Source organism: Homo sapiens, chromosome 12 (genome assembly GCF_000001405.40).
Source record: "Homo sapiens chromosome 12, GRCh38.p14 Primary Assembly".
Taxonomy (NCBI): domain Eukaryota; kingdom Metazoa; phylum Chordata; class Mammalia; order Primates; family Hominidae; genus Homo; species Homo sapiens.
Window position 1 is genome coordinate 56,006,792 of NC_000012.12, and position 19,578 is coordinate 56,026,369.

The window sequence follows — 19,578 nt, forward strand, 5'->3', positions numbered from 1 at the left end:
CCGGCTAATTTTTTATTTTTAGTAGAGATGGGGTTTCACCATGTTGGCCAGGCTGGTCTTGAACTCCTGACCTCAGGTGATCCGCCCGCCTCGGCCTCCCAAAGTGCTGGGATTACAGGCGTGAGCCACTGCGCCCCGCTCCATTTACCTCTTATCTACCTATGACCTGGAAGCCTCCTCCCAGCTTGAGTTGTCCCGCCTTTACATATATTGATTGATGTCTCTTGTCTCCCTAAAATGTATAACACCAAGCTGTGCTCCAGTCACCTAGGGCACATGTCGTCAGGACCTCCTGAGGCTGCGTTACGGGCGTGCGTCCCTAACTTTGGCAAAATTAAGTTTTGCCAAAAACTTCCTAAACTGAGACCTGTCTCAGATTTTTGGGATTCACAAGGTACAGAGGGAAAACTTGGCTCTAGGGCCTGACGTGCCAGGCCACATCGGGCGTCCAGCGTGTGCTTAGATTGCAAACTGGGTGCAGATTAAAGGCTAGTTTTTGGGTTACCTTCGGCAGACGATGGTGCCTTTCGGATTTGAATCTTTCGGCGCTCGGCTACTCTCCCCTAGCTCCTCTCCCATTTTCCCCCAGCAGTCTCCCGGGCTTGGGGACGCTCGGTGTTCGGCCACGCCGCCTGTCGCCTGGTAGTGGGACCGGAAGTTGTTAGGGGGAGGGGGACGGCTGTGATGGGGGGGGATATTTGGGGGGGCAAGTCCCTTCTCAGGTGAAGCTGCTGATGGAGATGGAGCCGCCGCCACCGCCGCCTCTGAGCGCCCGGGTCCTGGCTCCGGCCCGGCGACTGCCGCCGCCTCAGTGACCCCACTCCCCCCGCACTGGGCCGCCCGGGCCAGAGTGGGGGACCCCCGCCCCCTCGCCTCCCTCTCCCCCAACACTGTCCCCTCTCCCCAACCCCTCACAGCCTGCGCGCGCGCGGAGACACCTCAGGTGAGTGAGGGGCGGGGCTTGGTGGGGGTAAAGCGGGGGCGGGGCCTCGGTAGCCGGGGGCGGGGCCTGAGGGGCTCTGGCGTGAAGGAGGGGGGAGACGTGGGCGGGGGAAGGGGCCAGGCTGAGAGAGGGTCGCGGGTTGGGCTGGGGCCGGAGGGTTGGAAGATGGCCGGGGGAGTTTGGCCCGAGGCCCCAGTATTAAGAGCGAGGTAGCAGGGACTCGGGGGTCCTAAAAAGGCGGGAGACAGATCAAGGCAAGGGGCCGAGGACAGGCAGGAGCTGCCAGGCGCGGGGCTCCTCCGTGGGGATGTGGCTTGGGTATACAGCAGAAGGACAGCGAGGAGAAAGGAGCAGCAAAGAGGGTATCTGAACAAAAAAAGCGAGGGACCCGGGTGTTGGGTCGAGGAATGCTGAAGACAGGAATCTGGGGATAAAGACGTAGGCCTAGGTGAGATCTGGGAGGCAATGAGCATATTGGGAGAAACATGTAGAGAAGAAACTTAGGATGGAGTGAGAAGTGCACAGTGTAGGGTGAGAGGTGTAGGGAACTTGGGAAGCAAGGCTGGGAAAGAAGAGATTCACTGCTTGAGAGCCCTAAGAAAGAAATGCAACAGAGGAATCCCCAGGGCAGACATCCAGACGGGAGCTGCAAACTTGGGAAGCAGGCTGCCTGCTCCTGTGTACCAAAACAGCCCTCCCTGTACCTCCTCACACAAACCCCATCCCGTTATTTTCTTACCTCATGGCTGCTAGAGTTGTAGGTTCTCACTTTTTAAATTTTCTATATTATTTCTGTGCCTTTAAAAAAAATTATGACTAGTCCTTTCTGGGAACAGTGGAGTGTTTAATGGAACGTGGACCTTTCGATATGCTTATGAAATATTGTACCCCAATCCCCATCCAAGGTCAAGAAGTTACGAACTCTGCTTCCAGGAAATTTTTTTTTTTTTTTTTTTTGAGACGGAGTTTCACTCTTGTTGCCCAGGCTGGGGTGCAATGGCGCGACCTCAGCTCACTGCAACCTCCATCTCCCAGGTTCAAGAGATTCTCCTGCCTCAGCCTCCCAAGTAGCTGGGATTACAGGCACCCGCCACCACCCCTGGCTAATTTTTTGTATTTTTAGTAGAGATGGGGGTCTCACCATGTTGGCCAGGCTGGTCTTGAACTCCTGACCTCAGGTGATCCACCCGCCTCAGCCTCCCAAAGTGCTGGGATTACAGGCATGAGCCACCGTGCCTGGCCAGAAAATTTTTTGCATACCTTATTTCGCCCCATTCCCTTCTCTCATGAACAAAACTGTCTATTGTTGTTACTCTTGTCAACCCTCGCTTATATGTCTAATAGTTCCTACTGTGCCTGTCTCCCCAGCCTGTGCCCTCGAAGCATCAATGGTGGGCATGGTATGTTCCTGACATGCTCACATGTCAGCTTTAGATGTTCCAACGTCATGGTCAACCAGATGACCATTGAAGCCTGTCTCCCCTTACTGATACTTGCTCACTTTGCCTGGGTGAAGATACATGTTCATATCCTTAAGGAAGCATGAAAATGTTATCTGACTACCTAGAATATTTCCACTTAACGATAACTCAGATTCTGAGGACAAGGCCAGATAAAAGGCCAAATCAGACAATCTTTGAAAGCATAGTGTTTCGTTTGGTTGGGGTGTATGGTAATCCCTCACCTCCCCATGGACCTGCCAGTAGGTCCGTGAATCTTGCTTTATGGTTTGCAGGAGGACTTCAGCTTTCCCTACTAACAGCCTAAAGCCAGAGAATCCAGACAGACCCTTGGGTCATGAGAACAGTCAGATGAGTAGCTCCTGAGATAAAAATAAAATCTTAAAAGAAGAAAATAGCTTTACCATTGGGAAGCAAGAGAAGTTTCACTGGAGCTTCTGGGGTGGGCTTCAGAATGGTGAGAGCTGCCCTCATTTTGGCAGCTTCAGAATTATACCTTGCCCTAGTCAATAGAAGTTGATGTCTCAAACACAAAATATAATGTCTTTGTTGCCCACTGAGTGCAGTTAGTTAGTTGAATTGTAGCTTCTGGGCAATCCCCTTCCTCTGAGTAGGTTAAGGGTAAGGCATATTTCAGGACTTGGCTCAGAAATAAGTCCTGACTTTTTTCCAGTGAAAATGCAACTGAAAGTCTCTTTATGTCCTCTTAGTTTGAAATCTGCAGCTTGAACTTCCCAGCATGGGAGAAACTTATCCCACCTTTCACCGTACCCCCTGCCCCCCCACACACAGTAGTATCCACAAAGGAATTATTTTTTTTCCCCAACTGGCCATCTCTCTCTCTGTCTCTCTCTCTCTCTCGCCACACACACACACACCAAAGAAAAAGAAAGATAGGTATTTCTAGCCTCGTTTTACTCTGTAGGAACAAATAAGAGTGTGGGACCCTGTGAGTGTGGACAATGCCACAGGCAGAGGGACTCCCTTTCTTTATTGGTCTGTTGACTCTGCTGAAGAAAGCTTTGAATTCCAGGCTTTGATTTGCTTCCTCTTCTTAGAAGAGTTATGGACTCTGTTCTGGAAACAGAGAGATAGGTTCAAAGTTTATCAGACAAAGGCATCTAAGAAAGGGTAGTGCTGATATGAATGACCTGGTCCAGCTGCGGGGAGGATCCACATTGTAGGCTCTGATGCAATACCTATGCTGGGGTAGTCCTCAAGCTAAGAGGCCGTTTCTACTTTAGAGACTTAATGACCATCTAGTTTGGTGTTTTCCTCAGGTCCATTATCTCTGAAAAGAGACATAGGAGGAAGAGGATTATTTATCCTCCCATCCATAAGCCTGTGTTTCCAGTTCAAGGATTTAGGTCAGCAAGACGCAGACCCAAAAACCATTCATTTAATAACCCAAGAAAGAAGGCAAGCAGGGTGGCCCAAATCTTCCAACTGGGGCAAGATTTAATATAGTGTTCCAGTGGAAAGAATCTTCTAATGGTAACTTGGACTCTACATGTCCTAATTCTGTTGTTAATGAGATTGATGACTCTGGGCTTAGTTTCTTCTGTTAAAAACTAGGAAATTGTAGATAATCTCTCAACTCCATTTCAGCTCCAGGATTTCTCAGTTCCTGGAGTACCCCTGCCCTAGACCCTCCACATGAAGAAGAGAGTCTTACCAAATTGGATTATCAGAGCAAGACTATTAGCAGAGAAGCCTGAAAACATCTTTCTGGCCCAAACAACAGTGAACTTTTTTGATCAGCATGTATTAGGGACTTTTGGGCACAATTGCAATCAAAGGCAATTGTTCCTGTCTCTTCTACATTTTTTTTGCTACTGTACCCTAGTCAGAATAGTTCACTGAGACTTCCCTGTAATTTCAAACTTCACTTGAGAGTGCTAACCCTGTTTTGGGCATCTTTGGCTTTAAAACTGATTATTATAAAACTCAAATTGAATTTCCCTGCTCTACTTTCTCCACCCCTGCCAAACATACCACTGAACAGCAGTGATTTTGTGAGGCCTTTCTATAAACAGAGAGCTATACTTGGGGGTACACCCAAAAACCCCAAAAAGTATCATCTCCTATGTATCATATCTAGTGATTTAAAGTGTTTAGTTTGGCCCTTTTCCTTAGTTCCTTATGTCCTGAAATGAGACATGGGAGGGATAGGATCGTTTCTTCTCCCACTCATAAACCTTAGCCTTCTCTCTCTTCTGCAGTCTACATGGGGAGGACAGAGAAGCGCAAAGAACAAGAGAAAAGATGCATCCATCTGAGATCTAAAAGGAGACAATGAGGTGATATTTTCCCCCTGCCCAGGTGTTGTGTTTTCAGCTCTTACCCCTTTTTATTTTAGAGACTGGCCATTCCTAGGATGACCTGGGAATTTATCCCCTCTGCACTGCTCCCCAAGCACTTGGATAATGAAGCTGAGCTGTCTTCAACTGTATTATATGTAGACAGAAGGTCACCATCTACAGCCTGGTGAAAAATGAGTCAGACCTTTCCACTGTAAAGACAAACACATGAGCTGAGCTAAGGTTGGTGGGTTTCCTTCAGAGAGCACTAGGTTGACCCTAAAGATAATTTCAGAGCTGCAAATTGCTTGATGTCTAGGTCTTTTTCCTGGAAAGGGGCTTGCAGACAGTGGCTAATTCCATACCTTTCCCTGGCCCCTTTGCGTCTTCTCCCTCCTCAATTATGCAAAGCTTTGATAGAGAGCAGAGCCAGCTATGTGATTTCAACATATTTTTGCTCAGATTTCACTCAGTTCAGGAAGGCATAGACAGTAGAGGATGATGCTGTGGGTTTGCTCTACTTGTAGCACCTGAATGGCTCATACCCAAGGCACATGGGAAGTTCTGTCTTGTTAATAACTACTGCTCTCCACCGCAGAACCCAGGTACTAAGGGAAAGTGGAGAAAATTTTTCTACTTCTGCCTGTTATAGTTTGGGAATAATAACAAAAACATGGTATGGATCCTTGCCATTCTCTCTACCTTCACCATCTTTCCCAACAATATTCTTCTCATGACCTTTTACCCCCTAGGCCACATTAAGCATGTGTTAAATGACTTTTTTTTTTTTTTTTTTTGAGACGGAGTTTTGTTCTTGTTGCCCAGTCTGGAGTGCAATGGCCCGATCTCGGCTCACTGCAACCTCCGCCTCCTGGGTTCAAGCGATTCTCCTGCCTCAGCCTCCTGAGTAGCTGGGATTACAGGCATGAACCACCACCCCTGGCTAATTTTGTATTCTTCGTAGAGATGGGGTTTCTCCATTTGGTCAGGCTGGTCTCGAACTCCTGACCTCAGGTGATCCACCCACCTTGGCCTCCCAAAGTGCTGGGATTACAGGCGTGAGCCACCACACCTGGCCTAAATTACTTTTTTTTTTTTTTAGTGTCTCAGTGTGTTGCCCAGGCTGGCCTAGAACTCCTGGCCTCAAGCAGTCCTCTTGCCTTGGCCTCCCAAACTGCTGGGATTGGCCCTCACTGCTGCCTGTCAGGGAGCCTGGTGGGAAATCTTCTGTCTAGAAAGGATGCCCATTCCTGTTCAAATGTGTTGTAATGTTGATAGGAGAAAGCCAGGGCCATGGAGGACTCTTGTTTATGCCAAGTGGATTCAAACAAATGGGGAAGAGCTAGGCACAGTGGCACATGCACCTGTAGTCCCAACTACTCATTAGGCTGAGGAAGGAGGATTGCTTGAGGCCAAGAGTTTGAGGCTGTAGTGTGCTGTGATTGTGCCCATGAACAGCCACTGCACTCCAGCCCAGACAACATAGTGAGATCTCATCTCTAGTAAATATAATAAATAAATAAGAACAGGGAAGAAAATTTGTGTCTCCAGAGATTACAATGACCAGCGTTTCCTCCCTCCTCACAGAGATATTCCTTTTGAATTGGAACACTGATTGTTTCTAGTTGCTTTGTATTCAGCTCACAGCTGAATTTACAGTACATATGTGCCTACCCGCCATCACTGAGTGACGGTTATGTTGCTTTATTTATTTATTTAGTGACAGAGTCTCACTCTGTCACCCAGGCTGGAGTGCAATGGCGTGATCTCGGCTCACTCCAACCTCTGCCTCCGGGGTTCAAACGATTCTTATGCCTCAGCCTCCCAAGCAGCTAGGACTACAGGCATGTACCACCAAGCCCAGCTAATTTTTGTATTTTTAGTAGAGATGGGGTTTCGCCACGTTGGCCAAGCTGATCTTGAACTCCTGACTTCAAGTGATCTGCTTGCCTCAGCCTCCCAGAGTGCTGGGATTACAGGTGTGAGCCACCGCCCCCAGCCGACAGTTATGTTGCTTTAAAGCTAATCTCCTTCCAAGATCTTTGATACAAAACTGTCTCATGTAACTAACTTCCCTCTCCTTATACCTCCTCCTCCTGCAATGTGTCTCCAATTGGCAGTGCCTAATTTGACCCAGTTCCTCTAAGGAGACGCTAAGATCTGCCTGGCTGGTTAGGCAGGGGAGGAGGTGCTTTAAGGGGTAGAGAGTGGGAAGGCTGGGCGGGATGTGCTGCAGGGAGACTTGAGCAAAGAGTAAAGTACATCTGCTGATTTGCTCCTGGTTTGCACAGAAAACCAGGACTGAGAACAGCAGTTTCAATCCAATGCCCTCTCACTTCCAGGGTTACCAACTTGGTATTAAAACCAGCTGGAGAGCCGGGAGCAGTGGCTCACGCCTGTAATCCCAACACTTTGGGAGGCCGAGGCGGGCAGATTACCTGAGGTCAGGAGTTCGAGAACAGCCTGGCCAACATGGCAAAACCCTGTCTCTACTAAAAATACAAAAATTAGCTGGGTGTGGTGGCGCACGCCTGTAATCCTAGCTATTCAGGAGGCTTAGGCAGGAGAATCACTTGAACCCGGGATGCAGAGGTTGCAGTGAGCTGAGATGAGATCGTGCCACTGCACTCCAGCCTGAGTGACAGATCGAGACTCCGTCTCAAAAAAAAAAAAAAAAGAAAAGAAAAGAAACAAACAAACAAAAACCCCCAGCTGGAGGCAGCTAAGTACAGCTAAGTACTGATTTTGCCCAAGATGTGTCACAGAGCACGTTAAGAGCAATTAAGCAGGAAAGCTCAGTTTACTGTTAGAAAGAAAGTCCAGCTCAGAAAACAACTCCTTCAGACCTTTCTGGAAATTGTTTTGGGGCCATCTGGGCAAAAGTCCAAGAATGAGATACACTTCCTGAGCCAGTGCTAGCTGAATGGTATGCTTCACCTGTTCTACCCACCTAGTGCTTGTCTAGCCCTTCATTCACACAGGCATTAGGCATGCTGCATGCACACAAACACACACACACACACAAAATAATATGAGCATATTTCTTCCTGTAGAGCCAGCTCGACTTGTTCTTCCTTTTTAAGTAACAGACCCCACTCCCACAGGGATCACACCAAAGGAAAAGATGACTTACCTGATGTTAGAACCAGGGAAAAAGCCGAGTGTGGTGGTCCATGCCAGTAGTCCTGGCTACTCAGAAGGCTGAGCCAGGAGAACTGCTTGAACCCGGGAGCCAAACTCATGCCACTGCACTCCAGCCTGGGCAACACAGCGAGACTCCGTCTCAAAAAAAAAAACAAAAACAAAAACAAAAAAAACAGGGAAAAGCAAGAAAACCCATGAAGGCCTTGAGTAGCCTGGCTTTTGAAAGGTTTAATAGAAAGAGGACACCTCAGAGAGGCAGGCAACTTGTGTTCTTGTTCTTGTTCTATTCTCACCATGAACCTTGGGACAAGTAACTTCACTGCTCTCAGCCTCAGTTTCTCTCAGTTTCTCCAAGCAGAAAACAGGAAAATCCTGCTCACTCTTGCCTCTCCTGCATGGGGAGGTGTGTGAGGGAAGTTTCAAGTGGCACTTTGTGGGCTTGTTTTGTTTTGTTTGAGACAGAGTCTTGCTCTTGTCGCCCAGGCTGGAGTGCAATGGCACGATCTCGGCTCACTGCAACCTCTGTCTCCCGGGTTCAAGCAATTATCCTGCCTCAGCCTCCTGAGTAGCTGGGATTACGGGCGCACCCCACCACGCCCGGCTAATTTTTGTATTTTTAGTAGAGATGGGGTTTTGCCATGTTGGCCAGGCTGGTCTCAAACTCCTGACCTCGTGATCCGCCCGCCTCCGCCTCCCAAAGTGCTGGAATTACAGGCGTGAGCTACCACGCCCGGCTTCAAGTGGCACTTTGAACTTTGCATTCTTTTTTTTTCTTTGAAATGGAGTTTCCCTTTGTTGACCTGGCTGGAGTGCAGTGGCGTGATCTCCGCTCACTGCAACCTACACCTCCCCGGTTCAAGCAATTCTGCCTCAGCCTCCCGAGTAGATGGGATTATAGGTGTGTACCACCACACCCAGCTAATTTTTTTGTATTTTTAGTAGAGATGGGGTTTCACCACGTTGGCTAGGCTGGTCTCGAACTCCTGACCTCAGGTGATCCACCCACCTCGCCCTCTCAAAGAGCTGAGATTACAGGCCTGAGCCACCAAACCCAGCCTGAGCTTTCCATTCATTTTGAAAAACACCAAAGGGCAATTGTGAATCTAATGATTTGGAAATGAAAGGGCCCCTCAATACCAGACTGCCCTCCTTTATCTTTTGATCTCTATCTCAAGTTTTGTGGCTAGTTCCAGAGAGTCTGAGTTCTCTAACAACTGTGGACTTGGGCTCTTCTAATGATTGTTCCTAAGGGACCCTTCAAGGAACCACTTATTGTGTGGCTTGTTCTAGTGGTCCAGTCCCAAAGTTCAGTCCATCCCAGGAAGGATGTCAAGAAAAGAGGGTTAATAAACTTAGAGAATTTTTTTCTCCATGCCCTGGCTTCCTAGGGAAATAGGGTTGATACTAGGAATCTCTCTGACAAAATGTAAGAGAGAATTGCTTTGTGAAGTGAAGGTAAGCGCATGTTTCAGGTTTTCTCATGAGCCTTCAAAAGGAGTCTCAACTCCAGACAAGAATTGGGTGGGGGTGGGGGGGCAGGAAAACAGATACTTTACTCTGTGTGCCTTCCTGCACCCCCTCACCCCCACCCCTACCTCTCTCAATATACCATTACAAGCAAACCAAATCTTTATCCATCTGCCTCAGTGAGATCCTTCAAAAAGACCAAGAATCCCCACAGCAGCTCAGACTGTTCCCTTGCCCCATTCTTGCTTCTGCCTCTGCCTCAGGGCGTTTAGTTTTCATCAGATGAGTGGGGAATGCAATTTTCTTTTTTTTTCTTTTCTTTTTTTTTTTTTTTGTGACCGGGTCTCACTCTGTCGCCCAGGCTGGAGTGCAGTGGCAGGATCTCGGTGCACCGCAACCTCCACCTCCCAGGCTCAAGCGATTCTCCTGCCTCAGCCTCCCAAGTACCTGGGATTACAGGCTCATGCCACTACCGCCCAGCTAATTTTGTTTTGTTTTGTTTTTTTAAGAGACGGAGTTTCGCTCTTGTTGCCCAGGCTGGAGTGCAACGGCGTGATCTTGGGTCACCGCAACCTCCGCCTCCTGGGTTCAGGTGATTCTCCTGCCTCAGCCTCCCTAGTAGCTGGGATTACAGGCATGCGCCACCATGCCTGGCTAATTTTTTTTGTATTTTTAGTAGAGATGGGGTTTCTCCATGTTGGTCAGGCTGAACTCCTGACCTGAGGTGATCCGCCCGCCTCGGCCTCCCAGAGTACTGGGATTACAGGTGTGAACCAGTGTGCCCAGTCATAATTTTGTATTTTTAGTGGAGACGGGGTTTCACCATGTTGGCCAGGCTGGTCTTGAACTCCTGATTTCAAATGATCCACCCACCTCAGCCTCCCAAAGTGCTGGAATTACAGGTGTGAGCCACCATGCCAGCCGCAATTTTGGAGGTATGTAAATTTCCACCAGATAGATTTTTTTTTTCTCTCCTCCCACAGGCTCCTAAAGAGATAATTCATTGCAACAAATTATCACTTTTAAGTGTTCTCAGTTCCCGATTGTTTAATACTCTACTGCCAATTACTGCTTGCCTTCCCTCAAATAGACATTAACCTTCATTTTAAATTCAGACTCCCCCCCCGCCCCCCCCGTCCTTTTTTCTTTTTTAAAATAAGCGTGGTAGAGTAATTGATGAGAGGGTGGGGATAACCATTTACAGGTTTAACTTGTTTATTACACCTTCAGTAGAGGACTTATCACTGAACCCTGAGTGGGCTGCTCTCCTCCATCTTCTCCTTTTCCTGTCACCCTCCCTCACACCACATACTCCAAGACAGAATCCCTTGAATGACTGAACCCAGCTTCTTAATACTACCCCCATCTTTAACTGAGGTATAGAGCCTCTAAGGGGCTGTTTCTTTGCCTCCTCAGGGCTGAGGTGTAATCTCCACCTACATACACGGTCTAATCTCAAAATCAAGGACCACTCTGGATTAAGATAGTGTTTCCACCTCAGAGGCTGGGGAGGCCTGCAGAAGTTGTAAATTGGAGGAAATATTGGGGTTTGTAAATCAGGGTATGTTGTCTTTCACCAGGACAAAGTGTAAGGTTTTTCTTGGAGACAGGGTCTCGCTCGGTTACCCAGGCTGGAGTGCAGTGGTAAGATCACAGCTCACTGCAGCCTCGACCTCCAGGCTCAAGTGATCCTCCCACCTCAGCCTCCTGAATAGCTGGGACTACAGGCACATGCCACGATGCCTAATTTATTTTTATATTTTGTAGAGATGGGATCTCCCTATATTGCCCAGGCTGGTCTCAAACTCCTGGGCTCGAGTGATCCTCCCACCTTCTTTCCAAAGCACTAGGATTACAGGTGTTGAGCCACAGTGCCTGGCTAAGGTTTTTCTTCTTTAGGATAGTATCAGACCATGCTTAAGTGCTCCTTTAGGTTTCTTGCTAACTCAAGAATATTAAAGAAAAGCCTCCTCCCTTCCCAGAGCTATCTTCTAATAGCAGCTATTTTCTTTTTCAGCAGAATCTCTTTAAAATGGACATAGAAGACTGCAATGGCCGCTCCTATGTGTCTGGTATGCCTTCTGTGTGTTCTATTTGTTAGGGGCTGGAAGCAGACACTCTCCTGTAGAGCAGAGCAGAGAGCCTTCAGCCTAGGCACACAGCCTCTAAATGTCCTAGTCACACAGCTAACACTCATGCTTGGTGGCCCTTGGTAGTGTGCAATTATTTTGGTGATCTTACATTCCCTAAATAGTAATTTTCTTTTCCAGACTTCTTGGGGTATAGAGGAAGGGAATAGGAGGGGAATATGAGCAGACATCATTAGAAGAATAATTTGAAGCAAATAGATGGAAACAAGATGTGGTTCCTTCTCCTTTGCTCTGAAGTCACCAGCCAAACATGAAATCCTGTTCTATCCAGATAGAGCGGCACAAGGTTTCAAAGCTCAAAGGCCTGCAAGGGCCAGGTAGTCATGTGAATGAGTGAAGTAAGGTTAGGATAATAAGCAGAAAAGAATGGTGGGGGCTGTCATGAAGTGGAGAACATATGTCCCACTTAAAGGGACAGCAGCTTTCAGTGTCCACTAGAACTTGTCATGCAGGAATGTGTATCTAGTGTGGCCAAAACTTCTAAATTTTTAAGAGATACCAGAAATCCAAATTTTTATATGAAATGTCTCCATTTTAAAATAATGACTCAAGGCTGGGCATGGTGGCTCACGCCTGTAATCCCAGCACTTTGGGAGACAGGCAGATCACCTGAGGTCAGGAGTTCGAGACCAGCCTGGGCAACATGGTGAAACCCCCTCTCTACTAAAAATACAAAAATTAGGCCAGGCACGTGGCTCACGCCTGTAATCCCAGCACTTTGGGAGGCCGAGGTGGGCAGATCACGAAGTCAAGAGATCAGGACCATCCTGGCCAACATGGTGAAGCCTCATATCTACTAAAAATACAAAAATTATCTGGGCGTGGTGGCTCACGCCTGTAGTCCCAACTTCTCAGGAGGCTGAGGCAGGAGAACCCAGGAGGCGGAGGTTGCAGTGAGCTGAGATCACGCCACTGCACTCCAGCCTGGCGACAGAGTGAGACTCCGTCTCAAAAAAAAAGAAATAATAGAAACCAAAACTGGGTTTTGATGTGATGAGTATCCCTATCAGAAACCCAAGCACCATTTTGGAAATGACCTATAGCTTATTTTTTACTCTAAAGTAGGACCAATGAAGGAATTATTGGCATGCACTAAAGGAGATAGCAAGATGGGTCAGACACACATATGAGAGTCATTGGCAACACCCGGGTAATGTAAGGTAAGATGTTGACTCTGACCCCTTTCTTGTTTAAGGAGGGAAGGAGTTGGAATGGGTAAAGGCATTCAATATCTGCCACATGCTTGACAGAATGACAGGGATCAGGTAGACTCATTTAATTGGAAGAGACTTTATTAGAACAAAAGTCATGGCCTTGTGAGGAGCGAGCCAGTCCTCCTACCTCCTGCTCAGTTAAGCCTATTCAGAAAACCACTACTGAGCAACAAGTACACTTGGGACCCTGCTTTAGTGCTGGGGAACACTCAGATGGATAAAATCCAGTCCCTACCATAAAGCAGGCAAATGAGAAACTACAAATCCTGTGGAGCTCTTTTCAAACCTGTTTATGGAGAATATTGGATACTCATGGAGGTGATTTGCTTCACCGTGCTATGAAACCAAGTTTTCCCTGCTTTCAGCAGATTGGCATGTCCTAGATAAGAAGTGGCCTCTGCACAGGATGGTTTTTGAATGGAAGTGGAGGCCAGGAACTCCTCCTCTGTACTTTGAGAATTTTAGATGTCAGCAGCTACCTTAGAAAGGGAAAAGAGAAAGTCAAAGTAAGGCTACCATTAGCCCTGAAAAGTACCCCTCTTAGGACTGGGCATAGCTGCGCTCATCACTGACCCATCTCTCCTGGAAGAGTCATATGGAAGCAGAGGGAAAGGCTGCAGCATGCAGCCCTCCCGAAGCACACTGCGGGCCTCCACAGGCCATCATAGTTCTTCTGCTCCACGCCAGGTGACCTTCCCTCATCAGGCCACTTGATGAAAAGGGTATCTCTCCTGTTCTTCCAAGAGATTTGAATTCCTCACAGAATGTGATTCAGAAAATCCATCTTTTCTCCCCTTTTCTCTTTTTAAAGGTACAGATCATTCCCTTCTGGGGCAGGGAAAAGGGGGAGATAAGCAGGAGTCTATTAATTTATGGCACAGATAACCACCCCCTCCATTTTCCTATCTTTCAAGGGAAACAGAGTTGCTGAAACCCAGCTCCTGCCATTAATTGACTGAGCAGGGCTTGCCCCAAGTTTTCTGAGACTGTGAAATGTTTTAGAGAACTTTAGTAGAAAGGGATTCAGGGGTAGGCAGCCCGAAGTTTCACAGCCCCTCCCACCCCCAAATTCTTGGAATCAGAAAATGTAGTCTTCCAAAGTAGGTCAGTTTGTCAGTGAGCAGCTCCTCTGAAAGGGAAGGGAGCAGAGGCCTTGTCCTGATAGAGGGCGGATTCATCCAGGGCTTTCGGCTGCTGGGGCCCCAGGGGCACAGGAAGGGGGGGAAATGGGGAGACCGTACCAGCCTTTTTGCCCGGGATCTGAAAGGTCTCAGGGCCACGGAGCAACACTAGCCTGACACCAGACTCTGCTGGGCCCTCTCACTGCTGGAAAGGAGGAGGCTGTCAGTCCCCACATCTAGAGAGCAACCTTCCTCCTGGAGGAGGAGGGAAAGAGTTCGGTGGGGGAGGGGCTTTCTGCCTCTCTGAGAGCCTTGAAGCTGTCCGTGTCCTGGGCCCCATGACCTCTGGGGCCTTGGCTTCCCCAGCTGGCAGAGGATTGGGCCTTCCCTAGGGCCCCCCCTTTCTCCCTCCCACCCGCAGGCCCATCCATCTCTCTCTCTCTCTCTTGCACACACTCTTGCCTCTCTCAGGCATTTGTTGTGCAGTTCCTCTTTGTCTGCTGGGCACGAGGGGCAACAGCATCTGCCTTTCCCTCCCTGTGCACACACCCACCACCCACCCCCTTCACTGTCTTGGAAAAGGGATGCTGTAGCCTAGCATCTCCCCCACTATATACACATATACATTCTCTCCAGCCCCCTCCCCAAGCACATCCAAGCGTGCTCTCCCCTCTCCTTCTCTCCCTCTCTCTCTCTCTCTCTCTCACACACACACACACACACACACTCAACACACATACACCCTGGGCTGAGCTGCTCTTGCTGGCTGCAGCCGTGGGCCTCTGCTCACCGTGCCGCTGCTGCTGCCTGCGAAATGACGGCGGTTCCCCTCACTTCCAGGAATCCACGCTTCCTGGAAGGTGAGTGGCTGGGCTCACCCCTGCCTGCCACTGAGACGCAGACATGCATACACCACCCGCACTCCCTCGCCGTTTCCAAGGCGGCGGCCGCGTTCGCACCCCAGGGTCTCACCGGCAAGGGAAGGATAATGTAAGTTCAGGCAGAAGGCGGCTAGTGGAGGGAGGAAGGGGGGTGCTGGGGCTAGGGAGCCAATTCAGTAACTACTCCCAAGCCTGAGGAGATGGAGAGGATGGGGGCTGTGTGTGTGTGTGTGTGTGTGTGTGTGTGTGTGTGTGTGTGTAGCGGGGGAGGGGGCGTTCCTCCTTATACTTGCGGAGGATGGGAAAGGGTGTTTGGTGTTGCTAAGCAAAGACGGCGACTTGGACAGTGGGAGCCTATGGTGACATCTTGATTAGGCCTTGGGGATAGAGGTAGAGCTGCCTGGGGTGAAATGCCGAGACAGGCCTGGGTGGGAAGGGGTAGTGGAGAAAATCAAGGTAAGGAAGAGGAGCCTTGGCAAGCAGATGCCTCAGCCTGGAACAGAGATCTGAGGGGCCTCAGCTTCCTCCCCACAAAAGAGCTGAGGATGGGCGTCTTTCTTTGCTCTTGTACCCACTATTCCCTGCTAGCAGGCTAGGATCCTGCCACCCTGGAGCCCGTGGTCAAGAAAGGGAAAGCAGTTATGATGAGGTGCCTTGCAGAGAAGTGTGGAGGTTCTCCATGTTCTCCAAGCTCATGGCTATTCCCTAGATGTAGCCACTATTTAAAGGTCTCAAGGAAAGGCAGCAGGAGTGGAGGCTAGCCTCCTTTAACATATGAAACACCTTTAGCTTGTGGCCTGTTTCCCAGTTCCTTTCTCTCCCTCCTGCTTTTCAGCCTTTACCTACCTCCCAGTTCCTCTAATGTGAACCTCATGATTTGGCTTTGCCCTCTGGGGGTTCAGCCAATCTATGATGACTTTGAGCAAGAAAATTTCTCAGAGACCTAAGAGCAGCCTTAATTCTTGGCTTTGACAGTCTGGGATTTCTTGGGAGTCCCAGACTTTTGAGATTCCCTCACTGGGGTTTCTGGGGCTGAGAGAGGAACTGTTAAACTTCCTAAATCTTACTCTAGTCCCCTCACCCCTGAGCTAGAATTCAAAATCCTTGGTGCCCAAGAAAGCCTTTCTGACTCCTGAAACAGATTCATTATACATATATTTTAGCCCCATGAAAGTAGACTTGATCCTGTTTTTCCCCTTACCTTAATCTTAGGGAGGGCAACAGCATCAAAGAGCCTCTTGAATTACTGGTGTGACTCCTGCTTCTCTTCCTGTTTCTGGGCCTTAATTGGGAAAGCCACAAAGGATGCTTTTCCCTCAGTGTTTCTTTTTTTTTTTTTTTTTTTTGAGACGGAGTCTCGCTCTGTCGCCCAGGCTGGAGTGCAGTGGCGCGATCTCGGCTCACTGCAAGCTCCGCCTCCCAGGTTCACGCCATTCTCCTGCCTCAGCCTCCCGAGTAGCTGGGACTACAGGCGCCCGCTACCATGCCCGGATAATTTTTTGTATTTTTAGTAGAGACGGGGTTTCACCGTGTTAGCCAGGATGGTCTCGATCTCCTGACCTCGTGATCCGCCCGCCTCGGCCTCCCAAAGTGCTGGGATTACAGGCGTGAGCCACCGCGCCCGGCCGCCCTCAGTGTTTCTAAGTGTACTTTTAAATATATTTTCCTCCACATAGCAAGTCGCTGGCCTCAAGAGGCAGCCTCAGCCGAATAAGCTGGGACCAGTGATGGATTTCCAACAAGTTCACTCATCCTTTTAGGGTCAAGGCCTCAAAGCCAAGTGCCCTGTTCTTCCCTGATAGTAACATCAAGTGATTTAGGGCAATTCAGCACTAATAAAGGGAATAAGAAGATAACATTTTCAGCCCTTTTAACCCTAGTAAACCCTACACTTAGTTGAAAGGATATATTTAAAACTGGCTCTGAGTCTACAAGTCTCAACCCACAATCCTGAGATGCTCACTTCATGATATGTGTGTGGTTCTGATTTCGGGCAACATTTTTAGGTAACCATGGCTCACCTAAAAAGCCCCAGCTGGGAAAACTCAGATTCAAGCCATAAGGCTTTTTCTATAGATAGTGAACATTTTTCCTCAGGCTTTGACGGGATAGAATGGGGAAAATGGGACTTTAGGAGAGGATATGAATGGGAAATGGTCCCAAAGTCCTGAGTGGTTGTTTTCTTCCCACTGACCAAAGCTGGAGAGGGATCCCTCAGGAGGGTGTGTTCCGGATTTCTTGCCTCAGGCCCAAGACTCCAACCATTTTATAATGGAATCTTTATTTTGTGAAAGTAAGTATGTGCATAGCTGGGCAATTGGGTAAAGTACTAATAGGTGGACTTCAGGGATGAATTTTAGGCTTCCTCTCTCTTTCTTGCACTCTCCCTTGCTTTCTCTTTCTCTCTTCCATATTTAGGCCTGTGTGCACACATCCATGCATGTTCATGTTAGCAGATAATGTAGAAGGCTACCAGTATGTTTATCCCAATAGGTATGTTCTCTTTATATGTATCTACATATGTGTTGTGTCTCTGTGTGTGTTTATCTACATGTATTTTTATTTCACCTATATATTTGTGTAGAAGATTGTGGGGAGGAGGGATTTTTTTAAAAAAGACATTCATATCTTCCTTTAGGTATGTTATCTGATTTTGAAAAACATTATGAAAGCCTCAAAAAGCATTTTTACAAAGCAATTTATCAGAAAATTAAAACAAATATACTGAGAATAAGTTGATCACTTAACTGTCAATGAATATCAAATAGTAAACACGTGATTGGAATCAGATCAGTAGGAGACTTTCTAGAGTAATCAAATTTTTGCTGAATTTAGAAAGTCTAAGAGGCCCAATTCTTCCCTACTAAGATTGTGACCACCAATTGGCTGTGTAGGTGCTGGTTAAGGACATGGACGCTTACTGTCTATGATCCCAGTTCCACACTAGCAGCTATGTAACCTTAGACAACTAACATAACCTCTTTTGTACCTCAGTTGCCTCATCTGAAAAAATCATGATATTAGCACCTACTTCATATAGTTGTTGTGAGGATTAAATGAAATTATTCATTTCAAGTGCACAGAATAAAGCCTGGCACATAGTAAGTACTCAATTAATATTATTAGCTGCTATGATGATTACTAATATTATCATTAGATTCAAGGACAATTCCAGTTACCTTTCCTGCAGATCCTGAACCGGCTGGGGGCTCCAGAGAGGAACAGTAGGGAAGAATGTCTGTCCTGAACATCTGTCCCTTCTGCAGCCCCCATTTTCCTCTCCGCCCTGGCGCACCCAGCCTCAGCCCTGCTTCCTGTGGACGTCAGGCAGTGATGCTCTTGCCCTCAGGCCTAGATAAAGGTAGGGTAGGCAAGGCCCAGCCACTGAGCTCACAGAAGGCAGCACCAGGCATCCAGACTGGCGGGGGCACAAGGTATGGTGCCCAGCATACAACACTGCTTTGTACATGGCTATGAAGGAAATGTTTGTGAAATTTAACTGAATTTTTTTAAAAGATTAGGCAATGGACAGTAGATATCTCCAGCTCCAGCTTTACCTGCCCTCTTGTTCTCTCCTCCAAGGTAGCGGGGACTCATCTCTGGAGAAGGAGTTCCTCGGGGCCCCAGTGGGGCCCTCGGTGAGCACCCCCAACAGCCAGCACTCTTCTCCTAGCCGCTCACTCAGTGGTAAGTGTAACCTCCTACCACCTCCTGGCAGTAGGCACCCCCTGTTGCATTTGGCCTTCAATTCACCTTCCACTGGCAACCATTTCCCCATCGTCACCTCCTGCTGGTCTCCTGCTTAGTCTCTAAGAGCAATGAGGAGCCCAGTGTCTAGGGTTTTTCTGGCTTCTGAAAGGAGAGTGAATAGTCAGTCACTGGCAGACTAGGGTGGAATTAAAAGAGGTATGGGTGGGATTAAGGTAAAAGTTTCAAAGAGAAATTATGGAATTAGAGAAGCAGGTAGATAGAAATGGTCATCAGATGGAGTTAGATAGGAAATAGAGAGTAGAAGGACCTCCCCATCTCCCCACAGCTCATTCTCCTACCCAGACAGGGTCCCCATGACTGCCTCTCCCCAGCTGGCCCTAGATCTGTGACATTCTCTAAATGGTTGGAGTAGCCAGGAATGTAGGTCGGAGCTAGAGCCAAAGCCTTCTCCTCAATGGTTCCTCCTTCCTTTACCCCTCCTGCCCTGCCTCAGAGTTTTATGGAGGTGGAGGGGGTAGAGGGATTCAATCTAATGAGGTGGGAGGGAACTGTAAGCATGTCTGTCTTCCAGGTTTGCTCTCTTTGGCCTGTTGTCCCCCTTCAGTCTTCCTAGATCTGTTTTCCCGCCACTGTTAACTTGCTGGCTTCCTGCCCAGGGCCAAGCCAGACATCTTTCTTCATGACAAGAGAGTAGAGAAAAAAGCTCCCCTTAGTCGCCTCCTCTCCTCAGCGACAGAAGACATCCTATGTACCCCCAACTTTTTTCTTTTTGAGATGGAGTCTTGCTCTGTCGCCCAGGCTGGACTGCAGTGGCGTGATCTCAGCTCACTGCAACCTCCGCCTCCCAAGTTCAAGCGATTCTCCTGCCTCAGCCTCCGAAGTAGCTGGGATTACAGGCGTACACCACCATGCCCAGCTAATTTTTGTATTTTTAGTAAAGACAGGGTTTCACCATGTTGGCCAGGCTGGTCTCAAACTCCTGACCTCAAAAGAATCCACCCGCCTTGGCCTCCCAAATTGCTGGGATTACAGGCGTGAGCCACCACACCCGGCCCAACTTTTTTCTCTTGAAGCCTATTTGCCTGGTGGGTGGGAGAAAAGGTTGTCTCAGGTTCCAGTAGGATTCTGATATCAGCAGCAGGGATACTAGGGTGTTAGTTCCATTTAAGGCTTGAATGTCTCAGGGC

At 48.3% G+C, this 19,578-nt stretch overlaps 1 protein-coding gene and 1 long non-coding RNA gene across 24 annotated transcripts in view, besides 2 other annotated features; one reads left to right on the top strand and one right to left on the bottom strand.

The window, feature by feature from the left end:
- Window positions 697-816: a silencer, noted in NCBI's record as "silent region_4541". NCBI's record gives its function as "represses an Ori minimal core promoter by ATAC-STARR-seq in GM12878 lymphoblastoid cells {active_cell/tissue: GM12878}" and the evidence as "EXISTENCE:reporter gene assay evidence [ECO:0000049][PMID:35858748]".
- IKZF4 (IKAROS family zinc finger 4) overlaps window positions 713-19,578 on the top strand; it is a 30,932-nt gene continuing 12,066 nt past the window's right edge. The window contains exons 1-7 of one of the 23 annotated variants that reach the window (XM_017019806.2): window positions 713-943; window positions 4,626-4,946; window positions 11,335-11,386; window positions 12,527-12,624; window positions 14,640-14,789; window positions 16,880-16,973; window positions 18,263-18,367. In XM_017019806.2, the coding sequence (XP_016875295.1) occupies window positions 14,703-14,789; window positions 16,880-16,973; window positions 18,263-18,367 (286 nt within the window). In that variant the 5' untranslated portion in view covers window positions 713-943; window positions 4,626-4,946; window positions 11,335-11,386; window positions 12,527-12,624; window positions 14,640-14,702. Of the gene's footprint in view, window positions 4,947-11,331; window positions 11,387-12,526; window positions 12,625-14,113; window positions 14,790-16,290; window positions 18,368-19,578 lie in introns of those variants that run through there. The other 22 variants (NM_001351089.2, XM_017019810.2, XM_047429341.1 and 19 more) reach the window with 22 other exon arrangements.
- Window positions 837-1,196: a silencer, noted in NCBI's record as "silent region_4542". NCBI's record gives its function as "represses an Ori minimal core promoter by ATAC-STARR-seq in GM12878 lymphoblastoid cells {active_cell/tissue: GM12878}" and the evidence as "EXISTENCE:reporter gene assay evidence [ECO:0000049][PMID:35858748]".
- On the bottom strand, window positions 3,301-18,300 carry LOC105369781 (uncharacterized). The gene is made up of 3 exons (NR_135023.1): window positions 18,238-18,300; window positions 4,748-4,887; window positions 3,301-3,480 (listed from the first exon to the last, which is right to left on the bottom strand). It is a non-coding gene; the product is annotated as an uncharacterized LOC105369781 (long non-coding RNA).